Source organism: Homo sapiens, chromosome 11 (assembly GCF_000001405.40).
Source record: "Homo sapiens chromosome 11, GRCh38.p14 Primary Assembly".
Taxonomy (NCBI): Eukaryota; Metazoa; Chordata; class Mammalia; order Primates; family Hominidae; genus Homo; species Homo sapiens.
Genome location: NC_000011.10, coordinates 63,479,303 through 63,493,091, shown reverse-complemented (window position 1 = coordinate 63,493,091; position 13,789 = coordinate 63,479,303). Strand labels below are relative to the sequence as shown.

General features: G+C 39.8%; 1 protein-coding gene and 1 pseudogene across 7 annotated transcripts in view; one reads left to right on the top strand and one right to left on the bottom strand.

Annotated features, from left to right (window-relative positions):
- The first annotated feature begins 1,924 nt into the window (after positions 1 to 1,924).
- Positions 1,925 to 13,789, top strand: part of PLAAT5 (phospholipase A and acyltransferase 5) — a 29,764-nt gene continuing 17,899 nt past the window's right edge. For 3 of the 7 annotated variants that reach the window (NM_001146728.2, NM_054108.4, XM_047426340.1), the window contains exons 1-3: positions 1,925 to 2,205; positions 2,729 to 2,849; positions 4,116 to 4,221. In NM_001146728.2, the coding sequence (NP_001140200.2) occupies positions 2,058 to 2,205; positions 2,729 to 2,849; positions 4,116 to 4,221 (375 nt within the window). In that variant the 5' untranslated portion in view covers positions 1,925 to 2,057. Of the gene's footprint in view, positions 2,206 to 2,728; positions 2,850 to 4,115; positions 4,222 to 10,771; positions 10,863 to 13,789 lie in introns of those variants that run through there. The other 4 variants (XM_011544751.4, NM_001146729.2, XM_047426339.1 and 1 more) reach the window with 4 other exon arrangements.
- Positions 5,534 to 5,582, bottom strand: LOC124902822 (uncharacterized; annotated as a pseudogene).

Below are 13,789 nucleotides of genomic sequence, written 5' to 3'. Positions count from 1 at the left end.
GAAATAGTTCTAGTGTTTTATTGTAAAGTTGGATATTTGTATATACTCCTAGGTATTACATCTTGTGTGATGTCTGCATGCATACACCAGGATACAAATTGGGTTCTTCTCAATTGTTTCCAACCCCAAATTGAAAAAAAAAAAAAAAAAAAAAAGAACCAACAAATCACCAAGTGGCTTTATCACTAGGTCAATAAATTGTGGTATAGCCACATAGTGGAATATTTTACTGCAGTGAAAATGAATTACAGGACTATACAGCACTGTGTATGTATTATAGAAACAACTTTGAAAGAAGAAAATTGCAGAAGAGAACTTAACAGCATGATACCATTTGTCTTAGTCCATTTGGGCTGCTATAACAAAATACCATACGCTGGGTGGCTTATAAACAACAACAATTTATTTCTCACAGTTCTGGAGGCTGGGAAGTCCAAGATCAAGGCACCAGCAGATTCCTGTCTTGTGAGGGACTGGTCTCAGCAACTGCTGTGTTCTCACATGGTGGAAGTGGCTAGGTAGCTCTGCAGGACCTCCTTTATAAGGGCTCTTATGAATCCCACTCATGACCAAAGGGCCCATCTCCTGATACCATCACTTTGGGGGTTAGAATTCTAGCACATGAATTTTATGGAGTCACAAACACCCAGACCATAGCACCATTTTTATAAAGTTTCAGAGAAGCAAAACAAAGTGATGTATTAGGGATACAAAGAAGCGATTTAAAAAACTATTTTAAAAAGTGAGGGTATGACAGACACAAAGGTCAGGATAGACGTTGGGCGTGCAGAGGGAGAAGGGATAAGGAAGGAATCCATAGGTGGGGAGCATCTGTACTAGGAATGTTCCATTTCTTACGTAGGATGGTTTTGTCATGGGTAGTAATTACATTATGTTTCCTAACTGTGTGCGAGAGAGAAGGAAAGAGAAAATCAGTTGGGGAAGACTCAATGCAGAAGCGGCCTGCCTGAAAAGTCACAGCAACAGGCAAAAATAAAACAACCTGGTAAAAAACTCAGGCTCCACCTGCACACAGATAAGCAGACAGGGTCCAGCACAGAAGCCTTTTGTTCTTTGTATAATTAGGGAGCTCCCAGGAAAGTTTTCTCCCCTTTTCAGGCATATACATGGTGGGAACTTTCACAGGGAGGAGGGGGGCTTACCTAAAACAAACCCACAGTTATGCAAACAAAAAAGGCGGTGCTTTGTGCTTGCATAGATACATAACCACAGCTGCGTAAGACAGCTTTACTGATAAGAGAAGTTACTCAAACTACTACAGAGATAAGAGATTTTCTTGCAAAAGCTTTTGAATTCAGCTGTAACAGGGCAATCCACTTGCATACTCAGCTCACTGTGGAGAGCTTTCTTCTTTCGCTTATTAAACTTTCGCTCCCACCTCACCTTATGTCCCGTTCCTTAATTTTCTTGGAGTAGGACAAAGAATCCCGGGTATCAGTCCAGACAAGGAGAAACTGCTACATTAAGGTACATTGGCAAGACTGCAACATGTGTATTCCATGTACTTTTTCATAAGTTATCTATTACGTAAGTGTAGATTTCATTTTCTATATATTTTTAAAAATAAAACAACTCTGAATTGTTCAAGATTTTAACCCCTGATTGTGCCTCCCAAGGCTTCCTAATCTGGTCTCCATTTACCCCTCCAAGTCACGCCTCTGTTCCAAACCGTTCAGCTTCTCCAGCCACTTTAGGCACCACCTCTGAGCCTTTGCTGTTTCCATGACCTTCCCCAAAACGAATAACCTCCTTCGCCCCTCTCCGCCTAAAAGACCCACAGATTCCCGGGCCTCTAAGCGCCCCGTTTCGTCCCATTCTGTTCTCGGACGCGCTCACTGCGCCCGCGCCACTGTCGCCACCCCGCGCGCCTCTGCCGTTTGCAGCCCGCGGCGCTTTCCCCTCCGCGGTTCCTCCCCGAGCCGCCCCCAGTGCCCAAGCTTCCGCGGCTCCGCCGACCAGGGGCCGCGCCGACTGGGAACTCGCCAGGGGCGTAGTCCCCTGCAAGGCCTGGGGGCCGGCGAGGCCGCAGAGGCGGGATGGGCCTGAGCCCGGGCGCCGAGGGGGAGTACGCGCTCCGCCTCCCTAGGATTCCCCCACCCCTCCCCAAACCCGCCTCGCGAACCGCCAGTACCGGGCCCAAGGACCAGCCGCCTGCGCTCAGACGTTCAGCTGTGCCCCACTCAGGTCAGCCCCAAGAATGCGGCTGAAGGACAATCCGCAATTGTCCTTCAGGTCCCAGCGGGCGGTTACCCTCAAAGCTCCTTTTCTTAAGACATTTGGCGATTGTGTTGTCTGTTAGCCATCATGAGCGAGTATTTCAGAACGACCGCTTGTTATAAAGCTAATCAAAGCGAGCCAGGCAGCCACTCCCTCCTTCCCGCTATATCTCATATGGAAGTGAGGCAGTGGTGGCAGCTCCGGAGGGTGGTGTTAAGACCGGCTCTGGCTCGGCAGAGGTTCCTCCCATCGGGCTTAGGATAGAGGCGAGGCGCCCTTCTTCATCCTCTCCCCGATTCCGTTCCCAGGAATCCCAAAGTCTCTCTTTGGCAGAGGAACTGAACCCGCTCCAGCACCTAGTTCCACAACCCTCTCCATTCATCCCAAGATTTTCTGAGGCCTAACCAGGGGCCAGGCACGATGCTAGACTAGAGCTCTGAGCCCACTCTCCGTAGCGGTCAAGGTGCTTGCTCGAACTCTCCTTTCACAGGTCTAAATAGCATTTCCCCCCTTGAATTAGAAGAATCCGTGGGATTCGCAGCGTTGGTCCAGCTCCCAGCCAAGCAGCCTCCGCCGGGCACATTAGAACAGGGCAGAAGCATCCAGCAAGGGTAAGAAGATTGTAAGGTTGGGGTCTTTGGGTGGAAGAAATCTTTTGGAGAATTGACTTGGAATGCAGTTCTGTAAAACAAACCCAGAGGTGGTTTTTGTGTGAACCAGCCAGCCGGTACCCAGCAAGGGGAAGGCTGGTGTGATCCTGGGTGATAACAGATGGTACTGGGCTTGGGACCTGCTGGCCACAGGCATGCGTTGCAGCTGTTTCTAGCCACAAGGCCATTCTCTAGACCCCAGAGAAATGAATGGCTTTAGCAGGAGGCTTACAGTATTGTCCTTGGTCTCACTAATCAGTGAACAATGAGTCGGCCTTTGGCAGATTTCCTGAATTCACTTTCATTAACAACATGATGATTGCTGCTTTAAAAAATTCCGAGGGGCTGAAATTTTGGAGAGGAGCTCTACTGAAAATGAGGGGTGTCCCCTCTGCCCCACACACTATTTTTTTCTGGAGAAGAGTTTAAAGCATGGGAAAAGGTAAAGAAAAAGTCATTTCTGAGTTGGTGGTATACCAGATGTTTACATGTGCTGTGTCCTTTCACCTTCTTGACCACTGTGAGACACATTTTCATCTCTATTTTTAAAGATAATCAAGCTGAGAGTCAGACATTAATTTACTAGCTCAAGGTGGGACAGCAATCATGAAAGCTAGGATTCAAACCTAGATCTTTTGGCTTCGAAGTATTTTACTCTACTATACTACCTTAATTTAATATGCTTGAAAGCATATTCTTGCCTTTCATTTCTGTCCTCTCCTGTAACATTTTGTTTCAAGGGAGAAATATACTGATTTCATTCATATTACTTGCAGTTGCAGTGTTGTGGCTTATCAAGCTTTCTTAGAAATCTGGGGCTAATTATTGGAAGAAAGAGTTCAAGGGGTTTGCCTCTGGGCAGTAGGGCTGGGATGAAAAGGGAAAGGAGGAAGGCTCCTTGCATTTCATTATAAATTCTTATGTACTGGAAACCATGTGCAAGTATCACTTTGATAAACATTAAAAAGACATTATTAGCAAATTAAAAAATAAAAACCCCCAAAACTGCTTCTTGCTATCATTAGCATTTGAACAATTGTCAGAAAACCAGCAAACAGCAATTCTTTTGTATGAAAGCTAATGGGTTCACAGAAACAAACGGGGGGAAATGTTCCCTACAGTCTCCAAACCAAAAGCCATCTTAAAAATCACAAATCTGTAATACAGATTTTCCAATAATTATGAAATAGTGATATTTGTTAACTTTGTGATTGCAAAATCATTTAGGGAGAAGGCTGTAGTTAGCTTGGAGACCACACCCAGCCAGAAAGCAGACTGGAGTTCAATTCCAAAGCCTGAGAATGAAGGCAAGTTAATAAAGCAAGCAGCTGAGGTAGGTGTAACAAGAATTCTCAAAGTGACTATCTTTAACCTCCTGGCAACTTCTCTACATATTGTATTTTACTTTGTTTCTAGGGGTGTCCAATCTTTAGGCTTCCCTGGGCCACACTGGAAGAAGAAACGTCTTGGGCCACACATAAAATACACTAACACTGACGATAGCTGTTGAGCTTAAAAAAAAAAAAAACCCACAAAAAAGTCTCATAATGTTTTAATAAAGTTTACAAATTTGTGTTGGGCCACATTCAAAGCTGTCCTGGGCTGTATGTGGCCTGTGGGCTGCGGGTTGGACAAACTTGGTTTAGATGGTCTAATAAATATCCTGATTTGGGATGTTGGTTATGCTTTGTTTTAAAGCAGTTTTATTGAGGTGTAATTGACATATAGTAAACTCCACATATCTAAAATATACAATTTGATAAATTTGGCATATATATATGCCAGTGAAGTGTATAGTTTGATACATTTTGACATCTATATATATATCCTGTCAAATCTTCACCACAATCAAGATAATGAATAATCTCTGTCATTTACAAAAGTTTCTTTGTGCCTTTTGTAATCCCTCTCTCTTCCCATACCACTCCCATCCCCAGGCAACAACTGATATGCTTTTTGTCACCATAGATGTGTTCACATTTTTAGAGATTTATATGAAATCATATTGTATGTGCACTTCTTTGTCTGTCTCCTTCATATAACTATATATATTTTTTTCGAGATGGAGTCTCGCTCTGTCGCCCAGGCTGGAGTGCAGTGGCGTGATCTTGGCTCACTGCAAGCTCTGCCTCTTGGGCTCACGCCATTCTCCTGCCTCAGCCTCCCGAGTAGCTGGGACTAGAGGCACCTGCCACCATGCCCGGCTAATTTTTTGTATTTTTGGTAGAGACGGGGTTTCACTGTGTTAGCCAGGATGGTCTCGATCTCCCGACCTCATGATCCTCCCGCCTCGGCTTCCCAAAGTGTTGGGATTACAGGCATGAGCCACTGCAGCCAGCCCATATAACTATTTTGACTGACATCCATGTTGTTGCTTTTTATCAACAGTTCATTCCTTTTTATTACTGAGCAGTATTTCATTGTATGGATATACCACTCTTGTTTATGTGTTCACCTGTTGATTGAGCATTTGAGTTGTTACTAGTTTTTGACTATCACAAATCTGCTTGAACATTTATGTACGAGTCTTTGTGCAGACTGTATATTTTTTCCTCTTGGGTGAATATGTAGGAATGAAATGGCTAGGTCATGTGGTAGATGTATATTTAATTTACTGTTTTCCTTAACATTTTTTTTTTCTTTTTTGGGGCTTTCCAAGCCTGCCAGACAAATTCTAAAAGAGCTCTAACCTTAACTTACTGTTTTCCACAGTGGTTGTATCATTTTACATTCCTACCAGCAGTTTATAAGAGTTCCAGTTCATCAGCATTTGGCATGGTCAAAATCTTCTAAATTTTAGCTATTTTAATAGATGTGTAGGTATCTCATTGTGGTTTTCATTTGCATTTTCCTAATGACTAATAATGTTGAACGTCTTTTCATGCGTATATTTGCCATCCATATATATAATCTTTGGTGAAGTGTTCAAATCTTTTGCCCATTTTTTCCTATTGGTTTGTATGTTTTGAGAGTTCTTCAGAAGTTCTGTATACAAGTACGTCATCAGATATATACTTTATAATATTTTCTCTCCATCTGTGGCTTGTCTCTTCAGAACAGGTTCTTAAATTTTGATGAAGTCCAATGTGTCAGCTTTTCCTTTTATAAAACGGAAATGTAATGAAATACTGCTCAGTAATAAAAAGGAATGAACTGTTGATAAAAAGCAACAACACGGATGTCACTCAAAATAGTTATATGAAGGAGACCGCCAAAGAAGTGGACATACAACATGATTTCATATAAATCTCTATGAATAGTGCCTTTGGTGGTGTATCTAAGAGACCTTTGCCTAATCCAGTGTCACAAAGATTTTCTCCTGTTTTCTTCTAGGTATTTTATAGTTTTGTTTTTTACATTTACATATTTGATACATTTTTATCTGTATTTTTATTTCAATAGTTTTGGGGGAACAGGTGGTGTTTGGTTGCATGCAAAAGTTCCTTCGTGGTGATTTCTGAGATTTTAGTGCATCCATCACCTGAGCAGTGTACACTATACTCAATGTGTAGTCTTTTATCCCTCACCCCACTCCCACCCTTCCCTTCTGAGTCCCTAAAGTTGATTACATCATTCTTATGCCTTTGTGCCCTCATAGCTAGCCCCCACTTATAAGTGAGAGCATATGATTTTTTTGTTTTCCATTCCTGAGTTACTTCACTTAGAATAATGGTCTCCAGCTCTATCCAGGTTGCTGTGAATGTCATTGTTTCATTCCTTTTTACGGCTGAGTAGTATTCCGTGGTGTGTGTGTATGTGTGTGTGTGTGCATATATATATATACCACATTTTCTTTGTCCACTCATTGGTTGATGGTCATTTAGGCTGGTTCCATATTTTTGCAGTTGTGAATTGTGCTGCTATAAACATGCATGTGCAAGTGCCTTTTTCATACAATGACTTCTTTTCCTCTGGTTAGATACCCAGTAGTGGGATTGCTGGATCAAATTGTTGTGCTACTTCTAGTTCTTTAAGGAGTCTCCATGGTGTTTTCCATAGTGATTGTATCAGTTTACATCCCCACCAGCAGTGTAAAAGTGTTCCCTTTTCACCACATCTATGCCAACACATATTATTTTTTTTATTTTTAAGTTATGGCCATTTTGGAGGAGTAAGGTGGTATTATTGCATCGTGGTTTTGATTTGCATTTCTCTGATAATTAGTGACGTTGAGCAGTTTTTTAATATGTTTGTTGGCCATTTGTATATCTTCTTTTGAGAATTGCCTGTTCATGTCCTTTGCCCACTTTTTGATGGGATTGTTTTTTTCCTTGCTGATTTATTTGCTTGATTTCCTTGCAGATTTTGGATATTAGTCCTTTGTTGAATGCATAGTTTGTACAAATTCTCTCCCACTCTGTGGGTTGTCCGTTTACTCTGCTTATTGTTTCTTTTGCTGTGCAGAAGCTTTTTGGTTTAATTAGGTCCCATCTATTTATCTTTGTTTATGTTGCATTTGCTTTTGGGTTCTTGATCATGAACTCTTTTCCTAAGCCAATGTCTAGAAGGGTTTTTCTGATGTTATCTTCTAGAATTTTTATGGTTTCATATCTTAGATTTAAATCTTTGATGCATCTTGAGTTGATTTTTGTAGAAGGTGAGAGTTGAGGATCCAGCTTTATTCTTCTACATGTGGCTTGCCAATTATCCCAGCATTTTTTGTTGAATAGGATGTCCTTTTCTACTTTATGTTTTTGTTTGCTTTGTTGAAGACAGTTGGCTGTATTTTGTTTTATTTCTGGGTTCCCTATTCTGTTACATTGGTCTACATGCCTGTTTTTATACCAGTACCATGCTGTTTTGGTAACTATAGCCTTGCAGTATAGTTCAAAGTCAGGTAATGTGATGCCTCAAGATTTGTTCTTTTTGCTTAGTCTTGCTTTGGCTATGTGGGCTCTTTTTTGGTTCCATACTAATTTTAGGATTGTTTCATTCTAGTTCTGTGAATAGGTATTTTGATGGGAATTACACTAAATTTGTAGATTGCTTTTGGCAGTATGATCATTTTCACAATATTGATTCTACCCATCCATGAGCATGAGATGTGTTTCCATTTGTTTGTGTCATCTGTGATTTCTTTCAGCAGTGTTTTGTTTTCCTTGTAGAGATCTTTCATGTCTTTGGTTAGGTATATTCCTAAGTATTTTTTTTTTTTTACAGCTGTTTTAGAAGGGGTTGAGTTCTTGATTTGATTCTCAGCTTGGTCATTGTTGGTGTACAGCAGGGCTACTGATTTGTGTACAATAATTTTGTATCCTGAAACTTTGCTAAATTGATTTACCAGTTCTAGGACTTTTTGGATTAGGCTTTAGGGTTTTCCAGGTCTATGATCATATCAGCAAACAGCAACAGTTTGACTTCCTTTTTACTGATTTGGATGCCCTTTATTTCTTTCTCTTGTCTGATTGCTCTGGCTAGGACTTCTAGCACTATGTCGAATAAATGTGGTGAAAGTGGGCATCCTCGTCTTTTTCCAGTTATCTGGGGGAATGCTTTCAACTTTTCCCCAATCACTATAATGTTGGCTGTGGGTTTGTCGTAGATGGCTTTTATTGCCTTGAGGTTTGTCCCTTTTATGCTGATTTTGTTGAGGTTTTTAATCATAAAGGGATGCTGGATCTTGTCAAATGCTATTTCTGTGTCTATTGAGATAATCATGTGATTTTTGTTTTTAATTCTGTTTATGTGATATATCACATTTATTGACTTGCATATATTAAACCATCCCTGCATCCCTGCTATAAAACCCACTTGATCATGGTGGATTATCTTTTTGATATGCTGTTTGATTCAGTTAACTAGTATTTTGTTGAGGATTTTTGCATCCGTGTTCATCAGGGATATTGGTCTGTAGTTTTCTTTTTTTTTTTATGTCCTTTCCTGGTTTTGGTATTAAGGTGATGCTGGCTTTATATAAGGATTTAGGGAGCATTCCCCCTTTCTCTGTCTTTTGGAATAGTTTCAGTAAGATTGATATCAATGCTTTGAATGCCTGATAGAATTCAGCTGTGAATCTGTCTGGTCCTGGACTTTTTTTTTTTTTTCTGTTGTTGGCATTTTTAAAAATTACTGTTTCAATCTTGCTACTTGTTATCGTCTGTTCAGAGTTTCTATTTCTTCCTGATTTAATCTAGGAGGGTTGCATATTTACAGGAATTTATCCATATCCTCTAGATTTTCTAGTTTGTGTGTGTGAATGATCTTTTGTATTTCTGTGGTCTCAGTTTTAATATCTCCCATGTCTTTTCTAATTGAATTTATTTGGATCTCTTCTCTTTTCTTGGTTAATCTCATTAATGGTCTATCAATTTTGTTTATCTTTTCAAAGAACCAGCTTTTTGTTTCATATATATATATGTGTATATATATATATATATATATATATATATATATATATATATACATATATATATATATATTTTTTTTTTGCTTCAATTTCATTTACTTCTGCTCTGATCTTGGTTATTTCTTTTCCTCTGCTGATTTAGGTTTGGTTTATTCTTGTTTCTCTAGTTCCTTGAGGTGTAACCTTAGATTTTTTTTTTTTTTTTTTTTTGGTGTAGGCATTTAATGCTATGAACTTTCCTCTTAGCACCACTTTTGCTGTGTCACTGAGCTTTTGATAAGTTGTGTCACTATTATTGTTCAGTTCAAAGAATTTTTAAATTTCTGTCTTGATTTCATTGTTGACCAAATATCATTGAGGAGTAGATGACTTAATTTCCTTGTATTTGTATAGTTTTGAGGGTTCCTTTCAGAGTTAATTTCTAATTTTATTCCACTGTGGTCTGAGAGGGTACTTGATATATTTTCGATTTTCTTAAATTGATTGAAACTTGTTTTGTGGCCTATCAAATGATCTATCTTGGCGAATGTTCCATGTGCTGATGAAAAGAATGTATATTTTGCAGTTGTTGGGTGGAATGTTCTGTAAATATCTGTTAAGTTTATTTGTTCTAGGGTATTGTTTAAGTCCATTGTTTCTTTGTTGACATTCCGTCTTGATGACCTGTCTAGTGCTGTCAGTGGAGTACTGAAGTCCCCCCACTATTACTGTGTTGCCATCTATCTCATTTCTTAGGTGTAGTAATAATTGGTTTATAAACTTAGGAGCTCTTGTGTTATGTGCATATATATTTAGGATTATGATATTTTCCTGTTGGACTGATCTTTTTATTATTATATAATGTCCCTCTTGGTCTTTTTAAACCGTTGTTGTTTTAAGGTCTGTTTTGTCTTATATAAGAATAGCTACTCTAGCTCACTTTTGGTTTCCATTTGCTTGGAATATCTTTTTCCTCCCCTTTTAAGTTTATGTGTCCTTATGCATTAGGTGAGTCTCTTAGAGACAGCAGATACTTGGTTGGTGGATTTTAATCCATTCTGCCATTCTGTATCCTTTAAGTGGAGCATTTAGGCCATTTACAGTCAATTTTAGTATTGAGATGTGAGGTGCTGTTTTAATCATTGTGCTAGTTGTTGCCTGAATATCTTTTTTTTTAAAAATTGTGTTATTATTTTATAGGCTGTGTGAGATTTAAGGAGGTTCTAATTTGGTGTATTTTGAAGTTTTCTTTCAAGATTTAGAACTCCTTTTATCATTTCTTGTAGTGCTGGCTTAGTTGTGGTGAATTCTGTCAGCAGTTCTTTGTCTGAAAAAGACTTTATTTCCCCTCCACTTATGAAGCTTAATTTTGCTGGATACAAAATTCTTGGCTGACCATTATTTTGTTTGAGATGGCTAAAGATAGGACCCCAGTCCCTTCTGTTTTGCAGGGTTTCTGCTGAGCAATCTGCTGTTAACCTATTAGGGTTTCCTTTCTAGGTTACCTGACGCTTTTGCCTCACAGCTCATAAGATTCTTTCCTTTGTCTTGATTTTAGATAACATGATGACTATGTGCCTGGATGATGATCTTTTTGTGATGAATTTCCCAGTTGTTGAGTTTCCTGTATTTTGATGTCTAGATCTGTGGTAAGGCCAGGGAAATTTTTCTCAATTATTCCCTCAAATGTGTTTTCCAAACTTTTAGATTCCTCTTCTTCCTCAGGAACACTAATTATTTTTAGTTTTGGTCATTTGAGATAATCCCAAATTTCTAGGAGGCTTTGTTCATACTTTTGATTATTTTTTTCTTTTTTTTTATTATTATACTTTAAGTTTTAGGGTACATGTGCACAACGTGCAGGTTTGTTACATATGTATACATGTGCCATGTTGGTGCGCTGCACCTATTAACTCATCATTTAGCATTAGGTATGTCTCCTAATTCTATCCCTCCCCGCTCCCCCTACCCCACAACAGTCCCTGGTGTGTGATGTTCCCCTTCCTGTGTCCATGTGTTCTCATTGTTCAGTTCCCACCTATGAGTGAGAACATGCGGTGTTTGGTTTTTTGTCCTTGCGATAGTTTGCTGAGAATGATGGTTTCCAGCTTCATCCATGTCCCTACAAAGGACATGAACTCATCATTTTTTATGGCTGCATAGTATTCCATGGTGTATATGTGCCACATTTTCTTAATCCAGTCTATCATTGTTGGACATTTGGGTTGGTTCCAAGTCTTTGCTATGATTATTTTTTTCTTTGTCAGATAGGAGGCCTTAGAAAATAGGAGTTTCTCTAAGTGGGCACCTGTTTCCGGGAGAAGGGCCAGAGCTGGGTTGCCAGCCTGTGCAGATGTACGGGGAGCTTTGAAATGAACATTTATTCTAAAGGGACAAACAGAATTCAGAAGGTTGATTATTATTATTATTATTATTTTTGAGATGGAGTCTTGCTCTGTCACCCAGGCTGGAGTGCAATGGCACGATCTTGGCTCACTGCAACCTCCATCTCCCAGGTTCAAGTGATTCTCCTGCCTCAGCCTCCCCAGTTGCTGGGATTACAGGCATGTGCCACCATGTCTCACTAATTTTTGTAGTTTTAGTAGAGGAGGGGTTTTGCCATATTGGCCAGGCTGGTCTTGAACGCCTGAGCTCAGGTGATCCACCTGCCTCAGCCTCCCACAGTGCTGGGATTATAGGCGTGAGCCACCACACCCAGCCCAGAAGGTTGATTATTAAGCTATTCAAGGAGATACCAGAGAAAGGTGAAAACCAAGTTAAAGCAATTTTTTAAGACAATACAGCATATGGATGAAAAATGCTCCAGAAAAATAGAAATTATAAATTAAAAGCACAACTTATGGAAATGAAAGACACACTTAGAGATATACAAAATGCATGGGAAATAGAACTGAACAAGTATTAATAAAAGAAAGAGCTTGAAGACAAGGCTTTCGAATTAATCCAATCACACAAAGGCAAACAGGGCAGCAAAATCTTCACCTAGAATTGAAGGTACCAGCATCAACTGGGATTGGAGGCGGCTCTGTAGCATACAGACAGCTACTCTGTGGCTCATGAAGTTAGCAGAACTTCATGAAATGCTGGAGAGATGTTAAAGAAAAGAAAAAGGGAAGGATGGGACTGTAGAAAAGACCCCAGTATAACCGCAACCTTGGCTGCACCTTAAACTCACCTAAGGAGCTTTTAAAACTCTGGCACCCAGGCTATACTCCAGACCAATCTGAACTTTTTAAAGCTCCACAGGCGATTTCAATTTGTAACCAAGGCTGAGAATCAATACTCAATATAATCGATTTACAGTGGGAGGAAATTTAACAAGAGAGTGGATAACTGTTAAGTCTCTGTGAATCCCATTTAGTTTTATACCTTACTACCTCATCCAGTGGCAATATTGCAGATGAGAGAGTATTAAAATGCAAAAGAAAATACTTAAAATTCCAAAATTCCCTCCTCTTTCCTTCTCCAATCCCTGAGCCTTCTGTTTTCTGTACCACAAAGCTTGTTCGACATCCTTGATGAACAGAACTTGGGTTTTCTGAGCTTTCTTCTGGCTTAGATTGGCCTCACAATGAATTGGGTTATCTTCTTGCTGTCAGTTTTCCAGGAAACAACAACAAGGATTTGATTGATTGCTTGTTTGTTGTCATAGGGAATGACCTAGCCATGTTGAGTGGGAAGTAACTGGCTATTTGGTTGGTGGGGAAATATGTCCAAGGTGGAGGGATGGTGAAGAACGGACCGCATGTTCCTACAAAGAACAGACGTGACCGTCCAGCTGGCTTGGCCGACTCTGAGAGCCCTGCCCTCCACTAGATATGGTGGATGGTGGGTGAAAGGCATTGGTTAGGACTCTAAGGTATTGGGGTCTGTGGTCAGGTAGAGTGAGATGGAATCAGGGGTTAGTTCAAGAGTAACATAACGTGTCAAGTGGCTTTCCCTCTGGAGTGACTCAGAAAAACCTGTCCCATAATCTTACTGTTACTGCCATTTCCTTCACCCTGATCAATGCCAGAAATAATAGCCTGAGTTGGATTGATTTGAGCTCTGGCGCCTGTTCTTCACTTCTTGTTCATCTTTTGTCCATGGGCATTTCTGTTTTTCTTCCTGACCAGTGTCAGGACTTAGATAGTAATGGTCCTTAGATTACTGTAACAGTGAGGATGGGCCTATGGGGTCTCCTGTGTCATGTGTGTATAATAGCAGAAATGGCCTCAGCTTAGCACATATGTTCATATAAAGAAATTAGGCTAAATAACTTCTCTTCCTCTCTCATTTACCTATGTCTGAAAGGAAAAAATAATTAGACAATCTATGAATCAAAAATCTGTATATACCTAAATTATAAATTAAAGGCAATTTAACTGTTTACCTGCATCTGCACATGCAAATGTTGAACCTGACTTGATTTTTTAAAATGAGCTTCAAAATATTTAAACTTCAGACTTTCTTATGAACATTTTAAAACAGTTTCTCTGATCCTTTGCCATTTATGAAGACAGAGGCATCTGCTTAAAGCAATATAGTCTTATTACTATCTGAATCACAAAGAAAA